This window comes from Homo sapiens, chromosome 2 (genome assembly GCF_000001405.40).
Source record: "Homo sapiens chromosome 2, GRCh38.p14 Primary Assembly".
NCBI lineage: Eukaryota > Metazoa > Chordata > Mammalia > Primates > Hominidae > Homo > Homo sapiens.
In genome coordinates, this window is record NC_000002.12 from 96976886 (window position 1) to 96999874 (window position 22989).

The 22989-nt window shown below is 47.5% G+C and overlaps 1 protein-coding gene and 1 non-coding gene across 2 annotated transcripts in view, besides 2 other annotated features; both read right to left on the minus strand.

The window, feature by feature from the left end:
- FAM178B (family with sequence similarity 178 member B) overlaps positions 1-9695 on the minus strand; it is a 110696-nt gene extending 101001 nt beyond the window's left edge. Inside the window, exon 1 of the mRNA NM_001122646.3 lies at positions 9356-9695. Within this exon, the coding sequence (NP_001116118.2) occupies positions 9356-9428 (73 nt within the window). The 5' untranslated portion in view covers positions 9429-9695. The remainder of the gene's footprint in view (positions 1-9355) is intronic.
- LOC124906158 (small nucleolar RNA U13) lies at positions 4397-4499 on the minus strand. The gene has a single exon (XR_007088746.1). It is a non-coding gene; the product is annotated as a small nucleolar RNA U13 (small nucleolar RNA).
- Positions 8732-9252: an enhancer, noted in NCBI's record as "H3K27ac-H3K4me1 hESC enhancer chr2:97651354-97651874 (GRCh37/hg19 assembly coordinates)". NCBI's record gives its function as "activates a minimal SCP1, AML or CMV promoter by ChIP-STARR-seq in naive H9 embryonic stem cells {active_cell/tissue: H9 hESC(naive)}" and the evidence as "EXISTENCE:reporter gene assay evidence [ECO:0000049][PMID:30033119]".
- Positions 9253-9773: an enhancer, noted in NCBI's record as "H3K27ac-H3K4me1 hESC enhancer chr2:97651875-97652395 (GRCh37/hg19 assembly coordinates)". NCBI's record gives its function as "activates a minimal SCP1, AML or CMV promoter by ChIP-STARR-seq in naive H9 embryonic stem cells {active_cell/tissue: H9 hESC(naive)}" and the evidence as "EXISTENCE:reporter gene assay evidence [ECO:0000049][PMID:30033119]".

Below are 22989 nucleotides of genomic sequence, written 5' to 3' on the forward strand. Positions count from 1 at the left end.
AAAACCTTCTAGAGAAACTCGATGTGGGCTGGGCACAGTGGTTCACACCTGTAATCCCCAGCACTTTGGGAGGCCAAGGTGAGTGGATCACCTGAGGTCAGGAGTTTGAGACCAGACTGGCCAACATGGGGAAACCCTGTCTGTACTAAAAATACAAAAATTAGCTGGGCGTGGTGGCAGGCACCTGGAGTCCCAGCTACTCGGGACGCTGAAGCAGGAGAATTGCTTGAACCCGGGAGGCAGAGGTTGCAGTGAGCCAAGATCACGCCACTGCACTCCAGCCTGGGTGACAGAGCAAGACTCTGTCTCAAAAAAAAAAAAAAAAAAAAAAAGTAAAGAAAATACAAAAATTAGCCAGGCGTGGTGGCATGAGCCTGTAATCCCCGCTATTCAGCAGGCCGAGGTAGGATAATTGCTTGAACCCGGGAGGTGGAGGTTGCAGTGAGCCGAGATCACACCACTGCACTCTGGCCTGGGCGACAGAGCGAGACTCCGTCTCAAAAAAAAAAAAAAAAAAAGAAAAACAACAACAAAAAGAAAAACGTGAACGACCGTGCCTTTTGGGAATTTTTTTTTTTTTTTTTTGGTGGGGAGGGTCAAGAATTAAAATTGCTCTTTAAACAAACTTTTACTTAGGGATCTCAGATGAGTCTGGAACATTTGCCAAAGACAAGAAAACTCTACCAACTAAACCAAGCAAACGTTTTAGTGTTGCAAAGTCCATAGGGATGGTAAGAATAAAATAGGAGAAGCAGCAGAAACTGCTGATGCACCAAGAAGAATTCCATACAGCAAAGGCTGCACGCAATGGGGGAGGGGGAAGGAGGGAAGGATATTTCCTCCTTTTTAGATCAGTTTCTTTTCTGAGCACAAGTGCTTTCTGTGTCATCCTAACAATGTAAGAGCCCACTAAGTTTAGGACGCATAATACCGGCCTTTGTTCTACTCCAGCGTTGACGGTTTTTGCTGTTCCAGTTTTGGCTGCTTCTCAAGATCACGAAGCCCAGGGCACTCTGCAAGGGTTTCTGCAAGTTCAGCAGTTCATCGCTGGAGGGTGGGGCGGGCGGGGGAGGGGGGCGACCGGCAAGAGGGAGCACTTTGAAGTCCATCAGAGGAGAAAACGTCATTGCTAACGGAAAAAAAATGACACAACTTCTCAACTATTCCTCTTCATCCTCACATGCGTCTTCTCCACACTGATGACTCAGTTCTCTTCTTTCCTCACCTTAGTGCACGGAAGTCGTCTCATCTCAGCATCCTAGCACTCAGCCCATGGCCTGATGCAGAATGGATTCTCAGAAAATTAGGTGTTTGGCACTACTATACATTGACATGCACCATACCAAATGTTTGAATGCTTCTATGAACATCATCTTCCTTGACTTTTACATACACAAAATCACACACACATTTTTAAAAAAATAGATTCAGAGGGTACATGTGCATGTTTGTTACATGAATATACTGCATACTGGTGAGGTTTCGGCTTTTAGTGTGCCCATCACCTGAATAGTGAACATTATACTCAACAGGTAATTTTTCAATCCTCACCCCGCTTTCAACCTCCCCACTTTTGGAGTCCCCAGTGTCTGTGGCTTCCTTCTGTACATCCAAGTACACCCAGTGTTTAGTTCCACTTGTAAGTGAGAATATGTGGTATTTGACTTTCTGTTTCTGAGTTATTTCATGTAGGATACAGGCCTCCAGCTCCATCCTTGTTGCTACAAGAGATATGATTTCTTCTTTTTTTTTTTTTTTGAGACGGAGTCTCACTTTGTCACCAGGCTGGAGTGCAGCGGCGTCATCTTGGCTCACTGCAAGCTCTGCCTCCCAGGTTCACGCCATTCTCCTACCTCAGCCTCCCGAGTAGCTGGAATTACAGGCGCCCGCCACCACGCCCGGCTAATTTTTTCGTATTTTTAGCAGGGACGGGGTTTCACCATGTTAGCCAGGATGGTCTCCATCTCCTGACCTCGTGATCCGCCCGCCTCGGCCTCTCAAAGTGCTGGGATTACAGGTGTGAGCCACTGCACCCGGCCGATTTCATTCTTTTTTATGGCTGCATAGTATTCTATGGTGTATGTATCACTTTTTTTTTTTTTTTTTTTTTGAAACAGAGTCTTGCTCTGTTGCCAGGCTGGAGTGCAGTGGTGTGATCTCAGCTCACTGCAACCTCCACCTCCCAGGTTTAAGCAATTCCCCTGCCTCAGCCTCCTGAGTAGCTGGGACTACAGACACACACCACCATGCCTGGCTAATTTTTTGTATTTTAGTAGAGATGGGGTTTCACCACGTTGGCCAGGATGGTCTCCATCTCCTGACCTCGTGATCTGCCTGCCTCAGCCTCCCAAAGTGCTGGGATTACAGGCGTGAGCCACTGCGCCCAGGCATTTTTTTTTTTTTTTTTTTCCTGAGACAGAGTCGCACTCTGTCATCCAGGCTGGAGTGCAGTGGTACGATCTTCACTCACTGCAACCTCAATTTTTGTACTTTATTAGTAGAGACGGGGTTTCATCATGTTGGCCAAGCTGGTCTCAAACTCCTGACCTCAAGTAATCTGCCCGCCTTAGCCTTCCAAAGTGCTGGAATTACAGGCATGAGCCACTGCACCCATCCTATATCACATTTTCTTTATCCAATCATCTGTTGATGGACACTTAGGTTGATTCCATAACTTTGCTATTGTGACTAGTGCTGTGATAAACATATGAGTGCAAGTGTCGTTTTGATATAACAATTTATCTTCCTTCAGGAAGATACCCAGTAGTGGGATTGGTGGGTTGAATGGTAGTTCTGTTTTTAGTTCTTTGAGAAATCTCCATACTGTTTCACATAAAGGTTTGACTAATTTACATTCCCACCAACTGTGTATAAGTGTTCCCTTTTCTCTGCATCCTCACCAACATTTGCTATTTTTTGACTTTTGAGTAACAGCCATTCTGACTGACGTGAGTCGGGATTGCACTGAGTCACATTTCTGTTGAGAATGTACCTACATATCATATTGATGGGTCACAGGGAATAGGTATGTCCATTATAGTAGATAGGGCTAAACAGTTTTAAAGTTTTATCCTCCTACTAGCCACATGTCAGAATTCTCCTGTTCCATCCTTGTCAATACTTGAGATTGCTGGTATCTTAAATGTTTGCCATTCTAGTCAGCGTGTAATGGTGTTTCTTTGTGGGGTTTTTTTGTTTGTTTTTTTGAGACAGAGTCTCTCTCTGTCACCCAGGCTGGAGTGCAGTAGTGCGCAATCTTGGCTCACTGCAACCTCCGCCTCCCCGTTTTAAGCAATTCTCATGCCTCAGCTTCCCAAGTAGCTGGGATTACAGGCATGCACCACCACACCCAGCTAATTTTTGTATTTTGAGTAGAGACAGGGTTTCACCATGTTGCCCAGGCTGGTTTAGAACTCCTGAGCTCAAGTGATCCTCCCACCTCGGCCTCCCAAAGTGCTGGGATTACAGGTGTGAGCCACTGTGTCCGGTCTCCTTATGTAATTTAAAATTTAATTTTAAAAAGAATTTTGGAGATGAGGTCTTGCTCTGTCACCCAGGCTGGAGTGCAGTGGTGTGATCATAGCTCACTGCAGCCTAGAACTCTTGGCCTCAAGCAATCCTCCTGCCTTAACTTAGCCTCTTGTGTAGCTACAACTACAGATTCATGCCATAATGCCCAGGCAATTTTTTATTTTTTGTAGAGGTGGAGGTCTTTCTATGTTGCCCAGGTTGGTCTCAAACTTCTGGGCTCAAGTGATCCTCCCACCCTGGCCTCCGAAAGTGCTGGAACTACAGGCATGAGCAACCGAGCCAGCCTCCTTGCATTTTTTAATTTGGGTTTCCCTGGTTCTAATGAGGTTGAGCACCTTTTCATATGGAGTCCTGACCTAGATATCTTTTTTTTTCAATTTTTACATTTTAAATTTTTGTGGGTACCTATAGACATCTTCTTTTGTAAAGTGCCAATTCAAGTCTATTGCCCATTTTAGATCTGTGAAGTATTCTTTACACAGTCTTGAAATGAGTCTTTGATCAGTTATATGCGCTGCAAATATTTTATTCCACTGAATGGCTTCTCTTTCATTCTATTTATTTTTTTTCTTTGAGACGGAGTCTTACTCTGTCACCCAGGTGGGAGTGCAGTGGTGCGATCTCAGCTCACTGCAACCTCCCGGGTCCAAGTGATTCTCCTGCCTCAGCCTCCCAAGTAGCTGGGATTACAGGCACCCGCCACCATGCCCAGTTAATTTTTGTATTTTTAGTAGAGATGGGGTTTCACCATGTTGTCTGGGCTAGTCTCGAACTCCTGGCCTCAAGGGATCCACCCACCTCAGCCTCCCAAAGTGCTAGGATTACAGGTGTGAGCCACCGCGCCCAACTCACTCTTTTTTGGTAATCTCAAATGGGTAATACGTTGACTTCGTAACGAGGTCTCAGGGTGGCACATCTCACACATGCACGTGAACACTCAATCATCATGCTTATGAACCACAAAGGATCATTTCACTCTATTAATGGTATATTTCGATAAAGAAAAGTCCTTAACTTTAATGTAGCCCAATTTATCAACATTTTCTTCTGCAGTTGGTGCTTTCTGTATCCTGTTTAAGAAACTGTCCTCTTTGGGAGGCCAAGGCAGGCAGATCACGAGGTGAGGAGATCGAGGTCACCCTGGCCAACACGTGAAACCCCATCTCTACTAAAAATCAGCCAGGCGTGGTGGTGGATGCCTGTAGTCCCAGCTACTCGGGAGGCTGAGGCAGGAGAATGGCGTGAACCTGGGAGGCGGAGCTTGCAGTGAGCCGAGATGGCGCCACTGCACTATAGCCTGGGTGACAGAGTGAGACTCCGTCTCAAAAAAAAAAAAAAAAAAAAAAGAAAGAAAGAAACTGTCCTCTAGGCTGGGCACAGGGGCTCACACCTGTAATCCCAGCACTTTGGGAGGCTGAGAAAGGCAGATCGCTTGAGTCCAAGAGTTTGAGACCAGCCCAGGCAACACAGTGAAACCCTGTCTCTACAAAAAAACGCAAAAATTAGCTGGGCATGGTGGTGTGCACCTGCAGTACCAGCTACTTGGGAGGCTGAGTGGGAGGATCATCTGAGTCCAGGAGGTCAAGGTTGCAGTGAGCTGTGATCGCACTACTGCACTCCAGCCTGGGTGACAAAGTAAGACCCTGTCTCAAAAAAAAAGAAAAAATCTTCGTTTATTCCAAAGTCATGAACATATTTTCATATGCCAGCTTTGAGAATTTTTATTATTTTGTATTTCACACTTGGATCCATAACCCACACAAGAAACATTCTTCACTTTTTAATTGATGTATAACTTACAGTACATAAATATATATATTCATATAGTATATGTACATACTTTATATATATTATTATTTTATTTTAGAGACAGGGTCTGGCTGTGTCACCCAGGCTGGAGTATAACGGTGCAATCTTGGCTCTGCAACTTCTGCCTCCCAGCGTCAAGTCATCCTCCCACCTCAGCTTCCCGAGTAGCTGGGACGACAGGCGTGCACCACCATGCCTGGTTAATTTTTGTATTTTTTGTAGAGATGGAGTTTCACCATATTACCCAGGCTGGTCTCGAACTCCTGAGCTCAAGCAATCCACCCGCCTCAGTCTCCCACAGTGCTGGGATTACAGGCATGAGCCACCGCACCTGGCCTAATTTATTTATTTATTTTTGTTAGAGACAGAGTCTGTCTCTGTCATGTAGACTGGAGTGCAATGTCATGATCACAGCTCTCTGCAACCTTGAACTCCTGGGCCCAAGCAACCCTCCTGCCTCAACCTCCTGAGTAGCTAGGAGTGCAGGTTCACACCACCATGCCCAGCTAATTTTTTTTTTTTTTTTTTTTTTTTGTAGAGACAGGGTTCTTGCTATGTTGCCCAGGATGGTCTTGAACTCCTGGGCTCAAGCAATCCTCCTGCCTTGGCTTCCCAAAGTGCTGGGATTACAGGCGTGAGCCACTGCACCCAGTCTAATTTATTTTATTTTAGAGATATAGTCTCTCTCTGTCACATAGACTGGAGTGTACTGTCATCATCATAGCTTCCTGCCACCTTCAGCTCTTGAGCCGAAGCAATCCGCCTGCCTCAGCCTCCCGAGTAGCTAGGACTGCAGGCACACACCACCATGCCTGGCTAATTTTAAAATATTTTTGTAGAGACAGGGTTCTTGCTACCTTGACCAGGTCAGCCTTGAACTCCTGGGATCAAACAATCCTCCTGCCTCAGCCTCCCAAAGTGCTGGGATTCCATGAGCCACCATGCCTGGCTCTAAATGCACAAATCTTAAGTGTTCAGCATGATTGATTTTTATGTACATATGTGTACATTTAGTATAAATGTGTGTCTGTGTGTGCATATATATACACATATACATACATATGGTAACCATTACCAGATCAACATATTGAATATTTCTTACATTCTAGAAGTACCTCCTCCAGTCAATAACCCCAAAGGTTATACTACTCTGCCTCTATCACCACCGATTATTTTGCCTGTTCTTGAACTTCACATACATAAAATCATATATATATATTTTTGAGACATAGTCTCGCTCTGCTGCCCAGACTCGGATGGTGTGATAACAGCTCACTGCAGCCTCAACCTCCTGGGATCAAACAATCCTCCTGCTTCAGCCTTCTGAGTAGCTAGGACTACAGGTATGTGCCACCATGCCCAGCTAATTTTTATATTTTTCTGTAGAAACAGTTTCATTGTGTTGCCCAGGCTGGTCTCAAACTCCTAGGCTCAGGTGATCTGGTCACCTCAGCTAACAAAGCGCTGGGATTACAGGCGTGAGCCACTGCATCCAGCCAAATCATCAATTTTGTGCACTTCTGCATATATTTTATTCAACATTATGCATGTGAAAATCATCCACGAACTACTGCTAAATGTATGTTGTTGCATGCTATATGCCTGTAGCAGTAGTTCATGCAGCAGTTCAGTAATCTTTATTACTATACAATATTTCATCATATGAATAACTACTACTTATTTATCCATTCCGCTGTTGATGAGCATTTGAGTTATTTCTTGTTTCAAGGTATTATGAATAAATCTGCTATGAATTTTTTTTTCCAAGACAGTTTCGCTTATTGCCCAGGCTGGAGTGTAATGGCACAATCTCGGTTCACTGCAACCTCCGCCTCCCGGGTTCAAGCGATTCTCCTGCCTCAGCCTCCTGAGAAGCTGAGATTACAGGTAGGTGCCACCACACCCAGCTAATTTTTAGTAGTGATGGGGTTTCACCATGTTGGCCAGGCTGGTCTCGATCTCCTGACCTTGTGATCTGCCGCTTCAGCCTCCCAAAGTGCTGGGATTACGGGTGTGAGCCACTGTGCCCTGCCAAAGTGGTACATAAAAACTTTCACTCCGCCACCAGGAAGACAATTTGCCCAACCTGTTCAATACAGTTCCCGCTCAACAAACCCCAATTTAGCATCTTCTATGTGTCAGGCAGTATGCTGAGCATTGGGACCTCAAGGATGAGGAAGATGCAGTCTCTGCCCTAGAGGAGCTTACAGCAGCAGGAAGTTTCTGTCATAGGACAGACCCAGGGCTCACCAAGACTCAAGCAGATGATGAAGCCTGGGGCTCACTGGCCCAATCAGCGTATTCAGACTGGCTGGCTGCTTATGAGGCTCTTGGGCCAGGGCTGCCTGCTCAGTGGGCAGCTGACTCTAGCTGCTGCAAAATGCCTTTCACTCAAAGGTGCTATCTACCAGTGATTATATGGCATTCCAATTTTACCTGGAAGGGAGATGCAGCTACCAGCTGTTTCTTCCCTCTCCCAACCACAAAGTAACACATTTTTCATTTGTCTATCTGTTGTTTCCAGGTTTTTGCTTTTGCCAATCCCCTCCCTCACATGCCTTGAAACAAGCACTTTCAAAGACAAAGACATAAACAACAAAAGGGTGCAGGCTGAGGTGGGTCATCTTCTCTGCCTGCGTCTCCAACTCTGGATCCTGCAGTTACTGGACTCAGGCCATGGCTGACTCCTTCATCACAGCTAAGATGCTGCTGGGTTTAAGGCACTGTGACTTTCTGTGCCACTAAGACCGACAAAAAGCTGCCAAGTGAACGATGACACAAAGAAAGACACAAACTGTGGGACCCAGCCCAACTTCAGAGCTGCTAAAATGTGAACAAAAATGCATCCCGGAATGGATGGAAACCGATCATTCTAGTTGGTGTGACCTGCTCCAGTGCCTACAGTACGTGTCCTGACAGCGTGGGAGGGGATATGAAGGCCCCCCAGTCAAACAGGAGACAGCGTTAGTCTCCAAACTTAACTTTGTTATCTCTTTCCCTCCTGGGGCCCAATACCCGCCAGCCAGGACCTGTTTCTCCTCCATCTCACATTCTTTCCAGGTTCAGGACTGAAGTCGTCTTGTTCAGCTCCTTGACTTGGCCATGCTCACTCTACAATGCAGCCCATGGATGGCGCCCCCTCTGCCCAGCACATCCCTCTGCCTGGGCTCTTGTCTCCCCGAATCCTGCAAACCCCAGCCCCAGCCTTTAGCGTTCAGCCGCCCTCCCCGCTTCCCTCATCCTCCCTCGCGTCCTCGCAGTGAGATTTCAACATGTCATCTCAGTTTTTTTGTTCTTTTACTTTCCTGACTACAAGAAAAATAAAATAATCTGTCTTAAAGTGTAGCATGAGGCCAAATAATTACGGAATCCCAAGTGCTTTGGGCCCTGATGTCAAAAGAGCCAAGATGAATTCAGAATATTACAATGGTGCTGTTTCTGCGAATACTGCTTTTTCAAGACGCCTTATTCCTAACATCATGTTTTATATCCATCCTTTTAAACAAATATTTAATAGCTTGGGAATGCTGGCGAGAGCAGCGGCTCCTGTCAGCAAGGACTGAGCTCACAATTTGAAAGATGAAAGGAGATGCGTTCTACCCACAAAGAAAACGGTCTCCAGCATCATAAACTCCACATCCATCAAACCGGGCAGGGGCTGGGAATAGAAAGCCTTTCTGGAAAGAAAACACCAGCTACCCTTTGCACCCTGGGGAACATTAAAAATCAAAACAAAACATGCCACATCAACCAAAACATAAACCAGTTCTCAAACCAATCTAAGGTTCCACCCCACCAAGGCCGGCCGCGCAGTGGCCTGTGGAGAGGAGGGCCCGGCTCACGTCGGAACCCGAACCACGCGGGGTCGCAGGAACCTGAAAAGCGCCAGAGTAGCCCGGCGGCCGCACCGGGGCTGACCTGCAAGGCCTGGACCAGCCAGGAGTCCCAGGGAAGTCGAGTGCTCTCTGAGCGCTAACCACGCGCCCCTGCGGTTCCTCGGCCTCAGTTTCCTTACCTGTAAAATGGAGCCGCTGATCCTGCCTCCTGAGTTGTGGAGCGAGGCCCGCACCTGGAAGCCTTGGCCACATAGGGCGGGAAGGGCAGGGCTCCGGGGTGAGGGAGGGTGGCGGGAATTCGCACGGCCTCAGAGGACGGGGCCAGCTAGCCGGGAAAGGAAGCAGGAGCAGGCTCCCCAGGCGGCGCAGTGGGAGGACCCCAAGAGTTGCGTCCCTAGATCCAGGGCCGCCAACGTGGAACCTAAAGATCCAGTTCTGGGGATTGAGTTCCGACTCCAAACCAAGCGGCCAGCTCACAGCCGCCGCCGCCGCCAGCTGGGGAGCTCGCCGGCCAAGTGCGCACCCTCTTCCTGTTAGCCCTCCACGTGCGCGCCCTCTTCCTGCTCGCCCTCCACGTGCGCATCCACGTGCGCGGGAATTGGCTGGCGGAAGCTCCTGCCCCCAGGCAGTCCTGGGTCACGCGCACTTGTAGTAGCTTGCATTTACCAAGACAGTGAGACAGTGGCCTGGCGCGGTGTCTCATGCCTATAATCCCAGCACTTTGGGAGGCTGAGACGGGACGATTGCTTGAGCCCAGGAGTGAGAGACCTGCCTGGGCGACATGGCGAAACCCCGTCTCTACTAAAAATACAAAAATTAGCCTGGCGTGGGCAGGGCGCGGTGGCTCACGCCTGTAATCCCAGCACTTTGGGAGGCCGAGGCGGGCGAATTGCCTGAGGTCAGGAGTTCCAGACCAGTCTGGCCAACATGGTGAAGCCCTGTCTCTACTAAAAATTAAAAAACATTAACCGGGCTTGGTGGCTGGCGTGCGCCTGTAATCCCAGTTGCGCGGGAGGCTGAGGCAGGGGAATTGCTTGAACCAGGGAGGTGGAGGTTGCAATGAGCCGAGATCGCGCCACCGCACTCCAGCCTGGGCAGCAGAGCAAGACGCCGTCTCAAAAAAAAAAAAAAAAAAAAAAAAAAAAAAAAAAAAAAAAAAAAAAAAAAGCCGGGCATAGTGGTGCAGTGCCTGTAGCCCCAACTACTTCAGAGGCTGAGGTGAGAGGATCACTTGAGCCTGGGAGGCGTAGGCAGAGGTTGCAGTGAGCCGAGATCGTGGCACTGTACTCCAGCCTGGCGAAAGAGCAAGCCCCCATCTCTAACACACACACACACACACACACACGTGTGAGATAGCTGTGTCTGTTTGGCAGTGATGAGCTTCCCTTTATGGGAGATTTACATAATTATTCATAAAGGAGCGGGAATGGGCATTACTGTTAAGCATGTTACGGGGTCTCCCAGATGTGCATGTGCGTGCTAGTACACCACATCACATGTCTCATTAGCATTTTAATTCCTCACCCAGGGGTGTGTTTTTTAGCATTAAAATGAGCATAGGTCATTCCAAGGACACTCTAATCATGGGTTTCTGCACTTGTGTGAATTTGGGGATTTTCCCTTCTGCTGTTCATCCTCTTCGCTGCAGGATGTTCTAACTAGGAGCCTGATGCAGTTTATGCACCAGTGGGCGGTTTGTTCTCTACATCAATCTGGCAAGTTCATTCCCCTTTAAAGGAGGCTATGACCACTGTATCTAACCGACCTCATTTTCCCCCTCAGAGACTTTGGGTCCATGTTCTTATGAAATGTGGAGGGCTGGGTCATTTTTTCTGGAGCTGCTTCGTGCTGAGACAGGACCAGGGCCCGAAAGTCTCTTCTTGCCTGATTTAAAGTGATAGGGGTCATATCCTCCACTGGGATAAGTTGAAATCCTTGCATAACTATCAATCTAGGAATTGTTGTAACCTAGAAGACACAGACTTTAAAGGAGCTTAAACAAGCAAGGACCAAAGGTCAGTAGTAATAAGATGGCTATTGTAGGTCCCATGAAAGGTAGCAGAATGAAGCATCACATCATTATTCAGCAAGCAGAAGAACAAAAAGAGCTCCTACAAATAGGAGACCTGAGATGGGACTACCTTATGTTAAAGTAATATTAATCTCTTTATTTGGGGTGTTGGCATCTTTTCTTGAAAATGAATGTTAGGTCTTCTATAGGCTTACAAAAGGATTTTTAATTTTTAGTTGTTGATGTAGAGTCCTGTGGAAACGTAAGGGAAACAGTTTTTATCCTAGAGAGATGCACCCAGCTGGCAATGTCCTGGATTCTCTGGACTATGGTGTGTTATGGTGGTCAGCTGGGCTTTTGAGAGTGCTCCTATGAGAAGGGGTTCAGTTGGTTTCATTGGTTTTAAAGAAGCCCCCAACGAGGGTAGCAACAAGGGAGTTAGGCATTCACGTCCTTGAGTCTGCAAATTAAAGGTTGGGTGGCTGGGCACGGTGGCTCACGCCTGTAATCCCAGCACTTTGGGAGGCCGAGGCAGGCGGATCACGAGGTCAGGAGATCAAGACCATCCTGGCCAACATGATGAAACCCCGTCTCTACTAAAAATACAAAAAATTAGCCGGGCGTGGTGGTGGGCGCCTGTAGTCCCAGCTACTCAGGAGGCTGAGGCAGGAGAATGGCATGAACCCAGGAGGCGGAGCTTGCAGTGAGCCGAGATGGTGCCACTGCACTCCAGCCTGGGCAACAGAGTGAGATTCCATCTCAAAAAAAAAAAAAAAAAAAGGTAAAAAGGTTGGGTAAAGTATCTGGTCCGGGTTTTTCATCAATTCCCGTGGCAGTGCAGTGTTTGGCCTATTTGGCCTACTAGGGTCGACGGCAGAATGTAAGGACTGACAGGCTGGTCCCTGTATGTAATAGAAAATTAGCTACACCTGCCACGTGCAGGGTCACTGGATTCCTCTGTGGTAATGGGGACTGAATGACAGCCAGTGTTAGCCTTGGGTCTCCTCAGTCTTTAGTCAGGGCCATCAAGGAATTGGAAGCCCCTGTCTCCCTACGGAGTTGGGGGCAGTCCTGCTTCCGGTGACTGGCATCTCTGCATTGTGGATATGGTCTAGGTGGAGCGGACTTTTGGGCATTTTGTCCCTTGGTCTGGCAGTTTTGGGGCCAGTGTCCTGGTTTTAAGTGTAGCAGGTGTCCCCAGATTGGGGCTTGGTCTGGACTGGCTTGTTCTCTCTGATAGCAAGGGCCAATAATCGGAGGCCTGGTTTATGTCTCTTGCCTCTTCCCTCTTTCACTTTTTAGCCTCTTCTACTCTGTCTCATTATAGAAGACTTCAAAGGCTACATTAATTAGCTCATTCATTGGTGCCTGGGGACTTACAGCCAGTTTTTGTAACTTTCTCTTAATATCTGGAGCAGATTGACTAATAAAATGAGTCCCCAGAAGAATTTGACCTGCCTCAGAGACAGCATCTACATTGGTATATTTTTCTAATGCCTTTACAAGGCACCCCTGTGAAGACTCAAAAGGACCATATAATATTTCAAAGGTGCTGGGTTGCAGATTGGTCTTGGGAGCCGCTCTTACTTGGAGGAACGCTAGAGGCAATCACTTTAATAAGGACTCAGAAGTCTCTTGCCAGAGCTTCGCCAGAGTTTTCTTTACAAGTAGCTTTTTCTAGCTTTCCTGAGGATGGAGGTCTCCAGGAAGCATGTAAATGATCACTTACTCCTAGAGTGGTAGCACTTGCTGGGTTATTTTGGAAACAAAGGAGGGGCCATTGTCGCTTTGGAGTGACATAGGTAGCCCAAATCGGGGAATGATTTCTTTTAAGAGGCACTTGTGCCTTTTCTGTTTTGGTGGAGTAGGCTTCAATCTATCCCATGAAAGTATCTGTAGAGATCAGTAAGTGCTTAAATCTTTATACTGGTGGAACTTAGGGAAAGTCTAACTGTCTGTCTTCCCCTGGGTACCTTCCTCTCCTCTGTACTGGCATCAGTAATGGAAGTGGCCTTATTTTCCTTTCTGGGTTATTGATAGAGTAAAGTGGTCTCGCTGTAGTGTGTGCTTTTACAGTAGTAGCTAAGCCTGTTCCCTTAAGGGTTCATGTGACCAAAGCGTTAGAGAGCCCCTTCCTAGGTGTCTGTAACCCCCTTTGATTAATTTGCATTGATGACCTTGAGGTATTAAAATTTTTGAATTTTGGGGCCGGGCACGGTGGCTCACGCCTGTAATCCCAGCACTTTGGGAGGCTGAGGTGGGCAGATCACGAGGTCACGAGATCGAGACCATCCTGGCTAACACGGTGAAACCCTGTCTCTACTAAAAATACAAAAAAATTAGCCAGGCGTGGTGGCGGGCGCCTGTAGTCCCAGCTACTTGGGAGTCTGAGGCAGGAGAATGGCGTGAACCCGGGAGGCGGAGCTTAAAGTGAGCCGAGATCGTGCCACTGCATTCCAGCTTGGGCGACAGAGCAAGACTCCATCTCAAAAAAAAAAATTTGAATTTTGGGTCCACCATCATTAGGGTCTTGGTATTATCCCTGTTCAGTTGCCCACTCCCTTTCAGTTTGTGTGTGTGCAGGCACTAGCTCAGGAGCCATAGTTTCTGGGATGGGAGCCCCTGCTACAAATGGAAGGGACACAGCCTGTTGAGCAGTTGCATTTGCTAAATTATCATTTTTTTTTTTTATTGTTGTAGAGTTCCCTCTTTGGTGTCCCCTGCAGTGCATAACATCAACTGGTAACTGCTTAGTCTTTGGGCTAAGTCTGACATTGAGAAAAGAATGTGAACTCGAATGGTCCCTGCCTCTTTGTTAGTTAATTCCCTACGAGGGAGTAGCCTGTTTTCTGGTTTGAGTGGGTGTCCTAGCGCGACTGGGCCCTTCTGGGAGTGCTGGGTGAATGGGTTGATATGGAGGAGGTGCAGTAGAAGACTGCAAGTCTGGTGAGGAAGGACCACTAGAAGGAGTAGAGGCTCTAGAGGTTTGAGGAATGATCCTTGGACTAGATTTGAAGAAGGAGAGCTGTTAGTGGGAGGCATACTTCCTAATACAGTGTCATGAATTACATCAGATTCCCTTGAACCCTTCTGAACAACATGGGCATAACACATTTGTCACTGGTCTCTAAGACACTTGTGGGTTTTAATTTTTTTTTTTAATAGAGATAAGGCCTCACTATGTTGCCCAGGCTGGTCTCCTGAGCTCAAGACAGCCTCCCACCTTGGCCTCCCAAAGTCCCAAAGTGATTACAGGCATGAGCCACTGCGTCTGGCAGAGACTTGTCTTAATGTAAAACCGTTTGGTTAGAGGGAGGAATAATGTCAGGTTGCCCTGGGCCCTTGGGGAATTTCTGACCTTCCTTTCCTTTTATAAAAAGGTTTAATTATAAAATGGTATTGTTGGGCCAGGCACGGTGGCTCACACCGGTAATCCCAGCACTTTGGGAGGCCGAGGTGGGCGGATCACGAGGTCAGGAGATCGAGATCATCCTGGCTAACACAGTGAAACCCCGTCTCTACTAAAAATACAAAAAATGAGCCGGGTGTGGTGGTGGGCACCTGTAGTCCCGCTACTTGGGAGGCTGAGGCAGGAGAATGGCGTGAACACGGGAAGTGGAGCTTGCAGTGAGCGGAGATCGCGCCACTGCACTCTAGCCTGGGCGACAGAGCGAGACTCCGTCTCAAATAAATAAATAAATAAATAAAATGGTATTGTTTGGGGCCATGCTGTATTACAAAAGAAGAGAAGTCTCTTTTTTTTCTAGTCCATTCAGTTTAAAATAAGACCAATTTTGGAGAATGCATCTGAGGGGGCAGTGAGCAGAGGGTTGGTTACTGTATTGTTCCGCTCTCATACCGCTATAAAAACTACCTGAGACTGGGTAATTTATAAAGAAAAGAGGTTTAATTGACTCACAGTTCTACAGGCTGTACAGGAGGCATGGCTGGGGAGGCCTCAAGAACTTACAGTCATGGCAGAAGGTGAAGGGGAAGCAAGTACATTTTCACATGGTGATAGGAGAGAGAGAAAGAGAGTGAAGGGGGAAGTGCCACACACTTTTAAACCATCAGATCTCGTGAAAACTCACTATCATAAGAATAGCAAGGAGGAAATAGCCCCCATGATCCAATCACCTCCCACCAGGTCCCTCCCTGAACATTGGGAATTGCAATTCAACATGAGATTTGGGTGGGGACACAGACCCAAACCATATCAGTTACCCATCTTGATTAGTAGCCTAATGTCAAAAAAAAAAAAAAATGAAGAAGGCTCTAAGCCTGAAGAGACAAAATTTAGCTTGGGCGTCCCCTTACTTTCGCTTGGGCTTCCCAGGCCCTGCTGTCCCTGGTGTCAAGCGTACCTTGATGGCCAGCTGACAGTCTTCCCAAAAGTGGTTTTACCAGTTTTCCCACAAGGAGAGGTACCACTTCTAGTCCCTGTCTTTACAGTTATTGGTGAGTGACCAATGTGGAATGAGGCAGATAAACTTCTTTTCCTCATTTAGCTGAGGGAGTCTTTTCCTGGGCTTAGACTCTTCTGGCCTTTTCTGTACATCTGATGTTCTCTTATTAAAGGCCCAGGACTTGGGTGGGCAGCCCTAGAGCTGACATTTCTATGGTACCATGATCTCTCTACATCCCATTTTCCTCTCTTAAAGAGCAACTGTATGAAGGGAAAATGAAGCAGGGGAAAAAAGAGCAACTTAAGGATCTGGAAAACAGCCAAGCCTACTAGGGTTGGGGGAGCATCAATTGATTGAAAGGCCCGTTTTCGGCGAGGTGCGTGGCTCATCCCTGTAATCCCAACACTTTGGGAGGCCAAGTTGGGCAGATCACCTGAGGTCAGGAGTTTGAAACCAGCCTGACCAACATGGAGAAATCCCGTCTCTACTAAAAATACAAAATTAGCCAGTCATGGTGGCGCATGCCTGTGATCCCAGCTACTTGGGAGGCTGAGGTAGGAGAATCGCTTGAACCAAGGAGGCGGAGGTTGCAGTGAATCGAGATTGCACCATTGCACTCCAGCCTGGGCAACAAGAGTGAAATTCTGTCTCAAAAAAAAAAAAAAAAAAGAAAGAAAGAAAGAAAAGAAAGGCCCATTTTCTATTTGCCTGATCTTTGCTTTAAAACATTGACAAAGTTGTCTGATTAGGGATACAAAAAGGCTGAGATCCCCAGTTTTGAGATCTTTTACTTGGTCACGATAAGAATGTTCATACAATCTAATGTGTTCCTGACAGACAAGACATTTGACAGGATTCACCCAAGAAACCAATTGGGAGATTAAGGAATAAAATTCATCGCCCCACCCGTAAGGGATTAAAGAACAAAAGTAATAGTTATCATCAGCAGCAGAAGACGGATTGAAAGGTCACCTGGCATTATGCAGCCTGGGCTTTTTCCCCATCACTTTCATATGTGCCAGCTGTCTGGCTGGACTAAGACAGCCACAAGCTACTTGGGGAGAGTCTAACTTTCCCATCTCCATGAGTCACCCACAGGTGAACTGGAAACCAGTTGGATGGAGCATGACAGTCTTAGCTGAAGGGAATTCTCAGGTGGCCAAAAGGAGGATATAAAGAGAGGAGGAAGATTAGACCTGTAGCCATGAGGTGGTGAGATCATTCTTACCTCTTGACTCAGTTTACCCAGGTCCTGCTGCAGTTGCCAACTTACAGTGTCATTGGGCCGATTCAGGTTCTTGACTGCTGCACAAAAGAATTTGAGAGCAAGTACAAAGCAAAAGTAGGTAAAGAAGTTTATTGCAAAGCGAAGGTATACTGGGACGGCTGGGCCAGAGCGGGCTGCTTAGAAGTGAGACAGAGTTGTCTGGCAGTGAGGTGCTTCCCTATATGGGAAATTTACATGATTATTCATAAAAGAGTGCGAATGGGCATTGCTGTTAAGCATGTTGTGGGGTACCCTCGGTGTGCATGTGCTATTGCTGTACATGCTAGTACACACGTCTCATTAGCATTTTAATTCTCCACCCGGGGTGTGTTTTTTATTTATTTTTTTGAGACAGAGTCTCGCTCTGTCACCAGGCCGGAGTGCAGTGGCACGATCTCAGCTCACTGCAATCTCTGCCTCCTGGATTCAATCAATTCTCCTGCCTCAGCCTCCCGAGTAGCTGGGACTACAGGCGCCTGCCACCACGCCTGGCTAATTTTTGTATTTTTAGTAGAGACGGGATTTCACCATGTTGGCTAGGATGGTCTCAATCTCTTGACCTCGTGATCCGTCCACCTTGGCCTCCCAAAGTGCTGGGATTACAGGTGTGAGCCACCGCGTCTGGCCTGTGTGTTTTTTAGCATTAAAATGAGCGTAGGTCAGCCCAAGGACACTAATCATGGGTTTCTGTGCTTGCTTGAATTTGGGGATTTCCCTTCTGCTCTCCATCCTCTTTGCTGCAGGATATTCTAACCAGGAGCCTGATGAAGTTTACGCAGTTGCCAATCGGTCAAGTTCGTTCCCCTTTAAGGGAGGCCACGACCACCCTATCTAACCGACCTCAGTCCGACAGTCAGATCTTTCCATGGTGGAGACACTGCAGATGTGTGTATTGAGAACCACTCTGTGTATTGGGAACAACTCTGCTCAGAACCACCAGCCATGAAAATCATTTTCCACGTTTTGCTTTGAGAAGAGATCTGTCCTGGGCATGTTTCTCTCTCTCTCTCTCTCTCTCTCTCTCTCTCTCTGTCTCTTTCTCTCTGTGTGTGTGTGTGTGTGTTTGTGTGTATGTGTGTGCACATGCATATTCCCATTAGGAGATTTCAGCCCTCAGATTCACACTCAACAAATACTGGTTGAGCCCCGGCCCTGCACCTGGCATTGAGTTAGGCTGCTTATACAAATTATTTTGTCTTATTCTAAACCAAGCCTGCTATCACCAAAAACTCACACCCTAGACTTCTGGGGAACTGATTTTTAATTAGGCATCACAAATAACTAATTAATGATCCTCCTGTGTGGTTCTACAGGAAAGAGGGCAGTAGAGCTGAACTGAGCTTTGCCGGAGTGTGGCTGGGATGGCTGTCCCCTGAGGAGCCCCTCTTCTGAGGCCAGGATATGATGGGTGGGAAGGCAGCCACCTTGGGGGTTGGCAGTCTCTTCCCAGCAAGGGGAAGGCCCCTGGAAGGAGCAGAAAATAATTACTACTTTGCCTTTGCTTCTTTTGATAAATTCCTGCGGGAGTTTGGGCCCATTCATTCATCTGACTTCCAGTTGTCTGTCAAAAGGACTACTGACACCAGGACATGGTGGCATACGCCTGTAATCCCAGCACTTTGGAAGGCTGAGGCAGGAGGAGGGCTTAAGTCCAGGAGACCAGCCTGGGCAACATAGTGAGACCCCATCTCTACAAAAAATTAAAAAACTAACCAGGTGTGGTGGCATGTGCCTCTGGTCCCAGCTACTCGGGAGGCTGAGGTGGGAAGATCACTTGAGCCCAGAAGGGCGAGGCTGCAGTGAGCTGTGATTTCACCACTGCACACCAGCCTGGGCAACAGAGCTAGACCCTGTCTCAAAAAAACAAAACAAAACAAAAGGCTGTTGAAGATGTAGAAAGAATCCCCTCCAAACTCCTTACTGTTCTTTGCAGAACTACTGCGATTTAAAATGTTTTAAATCTATATAGGTAGGTCCATTTTAATATGTACCATTTGAAAGTTTAATATAAAGAGACAGAGCCAGCTCCAGGCAAAATTGGATAATAACTTACTCAAGAATAACCCTCGTTCAGTGTGCAAATTGCCTCCAGAAACCTGACCTCATTTGATCTTCACAGCAGGCTGGAGGGCACTATTACTAGATTCATTTTTCAAATGAAGAAACTGAGGCTTGGCGGCCCCTCTGCCAGGTTCAGGGCCAGGCACTGGGTTATGAGAGCCGGGATTCCAGCCTGGGGCTCTTGTTGCTACTGGCCTGTCTCTCCCCTCATCTCTCGGGGTTTTGCCCTCACTTTAGGGATCCACTGCCCTAACTTCTTTGTGTTCAGGCTCTGTGTCCTTGAGACCCTCCACATTCCTCCCAGAAGACCCTGGAAGGAACAGAAAAGGAGCTTTGGCAAACAGGGCTGCTTTAGGTAGTACAGCAACCCCAGCACAGAGGACCCTTGCAGGGCCTGGCCACATCCAGCCAAGGACCTCCCCGATCTCCTCCTCTTCCTCCTCCTCTCCCTCCATCCCTTCCCTTCTCCTCCTTCTCTTCCTCCTCTTAGGATCTCTCTTCCCTCTGCCCTGCTCTGCGGAACCACGTGCTATATGTGCCCACTCCTGGTGAGCTGATCTCTCAGCCCAGTTAAGAAGGCATCTTTCAAACGGTCCCTTGGATAGTGATCCTAGTGATGGGACCGACTTGGGGGAGAGGGGCTGCAAGTTGGCCTTGCTCCTTCCCAAGTCATCCCATGTGAATGGCTGCTTATTCTTCCAGAGGCCAGCCTGGAGTGACACTTTCAATTTTTTTTTTCACTTATAGCCCCACTTTGTGTAATCATCATGTTTTGATCCTCTACTATGTGCTATATACAGTACATACATTTTAACGTATTCCCTATAATCACCCTATAAAAGGGAAATTGGGGGTTCAGAGAGGTTAAGTAAATTGCTCAAGTTGCACAGCCACGAGGTGCAGGGCCATTTGAATGCATGTTTCTCTGATTACAGAACCCATTCCTTCCCCTCCATATTCCACTGCCTGATTTCAAAGAGGTTACTAGAGAAAAGATAGAAAATCAGAACCAGAAAGAGGAGGAAAAGCCAAATTCTGTTCAGGAAGGCTAATGTGATTATTGTGAATGAACATTAAACCTGGCTCTAAGCTTCTTGGAAGCAAGAGAAGAAGAGAAGCGGGTGGGGAACACAAAGGACTCCATGCTTCTCTTTATAACATAGAGTTTCTACAATAGAAGGAAATAACGTGTTTTTCCTTATTTTCAATTCCAAAAGTAATTTCTCATGTGTGATTTTATACAAGGACATTATGTAACAAAATGGATGTAGGTTTGAATAACCAGGTATATCAAAAGATGGAGAAACAATTGTCCTGTATAATGCACCCTTCATTATGCAGTCATTCAACAAAGACTGAGCACCTGCCACACTGCCTAGACTCAAAACATGTGCAAAAAGATAATAACCTTGCCATGTACTCAACCCCACAATGGAGGTGTGCCCGGAGGCTGCAGGAGCACACAGAAGTGACATGGGGACCCTGCCTGGAAGGGTCCGATGACCTCAGGCAAGGTAACATTTGCCCAAAGTCTTGAAATTTGAGTTGGAATTTACTATTTATCTCCAAGAGGAGAAAAAGCATTCAAGGAAAAGGGAATAAAATGTGCAAAGGCATGAATGCTTGAGGCCTGAGATGTCGCTTATCAGTGGGCAAGTGCAGGACTCCTAGGTGTCAGCCAGCCTGAGGAGGACCTTACAGGGCAGGACAGAATCCAGTTCAGGTTCAGGACTCAAGGAACAGAGGCCAGAGACAGGAGGGGTGCGAAACAGGGAGTCCCAAAGGAGGTGGTTGTAAAATTGAGTGTGGGAGTGGATGTCAAGGCCCTTAATAGGGGCCACTCCAGGGACTATTGCTGGGGAAGAACCGACAGACATGAGAGAGAGACGGGAGGGGGATTCCACTGTGTTAACTCAGAGGATGACCCCATTTACAAGGTGAGTGGGGTGAAGGTGAGCTCAGCTGGAAGCCATGCCAATTTTGTTTGTTTACTGCAAAAATACTTTATTTTATATATCACTAGCTGTGAATTTTTGTCATTAGTTGTTGTATGAATGCTGCCTAGTGCCATTAACCAAATGGCATGACCATTTTACGTCCACAATTCACTTCTGTATTGACAGAATTTTCTCTCTCTTTTTTTTTTTTTGAGACAGTCTCACTCTGTTGACCAGGCTGGAGTGCAGTGGCGCCATCTCCACTCACTGCAACCTCCACCTCCCAGGTTCAAGGAATTCTCCTGACTCAGCTTCCCTAGTAGCTGGGATTACAAGTGCTCACCACCATGCCCAGCTAATGTTTGTGATTTTAGTAGTGATGCGGTTTTGCCATGTTGGCCAGGCTGTTCTCAAATTCCTGACCTCATGATCAGCCTGCCTCGGCCTCCCAAAGTGTTGGGATTACAGGCATGAGCCACCGTACCCAGCCTACAAACAGAATTTTCATGATTGATGTAAGTAAACCTGTCAGTGAAGATTTACCATTGAGATGCAGTCTAACATCCGTAACATCTGATGTTTTGCAGACAGCAATGTAGGAGAGACTTTTTTTTTGAGACAGAGTCTCCCTCTGTCGCCCAGGCTGGAGTGCAGTGGGGAGATCTCGGCTCACTGCAAGCTCCGCCTCCTGGGTTCACGCCATTCTCCTACCTCAGCCTCCTGAGCAGCTGTGACTACAGGCGCCCACCACCACGCCTGGCTAATTTTTTTGTATTTCTAGTAGAGACCTGGTTTCACTGTGTTAGCCAGGATGGTCTGGATCTCCTGACCTCGTGATCTGCCCACCTCGGTCTCCCAAAGTGCTGGGATTACAGGCCCGAGCCACCGCACCCGGCCGGAGAGATGTCTTTTTAATCACCTTTCATTTAAGTGCCCTTATGTAAAAAAATAAATAATTTGGAAGTTCTAAGTCTCCAAAGGACATTTTTAAACGTACATATAGAAATGGTTACAATGGGCTGGGCACGGTGGCTCACGCCTGTAATCCCAGCACTTTGGGAGGCAGAGGCGGGCGGATCACGAGGTCAAGAGATTGAGACCATCCTGGCCAACATGGCGAAACCCCGTCTCCAATCATGGATTTCTGTGCTTGCTTGAATTTGGGGATTTCCCTTCTGCTCTTCATCCTTTGTATTTTTAGTAACTAAAAATACAAAAATTAGCTGGGCGTGGTGGCGCCTGCTTGTAATCCCAGCTACTCGGGAGGCTGAGGCAGGAGAATCACTTGAACCTGGGAAGTGGAGGTTGCAGTGAGCCGAGATCGCGCCATTGCACTCCAGCCTGGCAACAAGAGCGAAACTCTGGCCGGGCACGGTGGCTCACGCCTGTAATCCCAGCACTTTGGGAGGCCGAGGCGGGTGGATCACGAGGTCAGGAGATTGAGACCATCCTGGCTAACACGGTGAAACCCCGTCTCTACTAAAAAATACACACACACACAAAAATTAGCCGGGCGTGGTGGCGGGCGCCTATAGTGCCAGCTACTCAGGAGGCTGAGGCAGGAGAACGGCGTGAACTCGGGAGGCGGAGCTTGCAGTGAGCCGATGGCGCCACCGCACTCCAGCCTGGGAGACAGAGGGAGACTCCGTCAGAAAGAAAGAAAGAGAGAAAGAGAGGAAAAAGAGGAAAGAAAGGAAAGAAAGGAAAAGTTCCAATGGGCCAGACGCAATGGCTCATCCCTGTAATCCTAGCACTTTGGGAGGCTGAGGCGGGTGGATCACCTGACTTCGGGAGTTTGAGACCAGCCTGACCACCATGAAGAAACCCCATCTCTACTAAAAATACAAAAAATTAGCTGGGCGTGGGGGCGCATGCCTGCACTTCCAGCTACTGGGGAGGCTGAGGCAGGAGAATCGCTTGAACCCAGGAGGTGGAGGTTGCAGTGAGATGATATCACCCCATTGCACTCCAGCCTGGGCAATAAGAGCGAAACTTTGTCTCAATAAATAAATAAATAAATAAATAGAAATAGTTACAATGAAAGCTGGGTGCGGTGGCTCACACCTGTAATCCCAGCACTTTGGGAGGCCAAGGCAGGTGGATCACCTGAGGTCAGGAGTTCGAGGCCAGC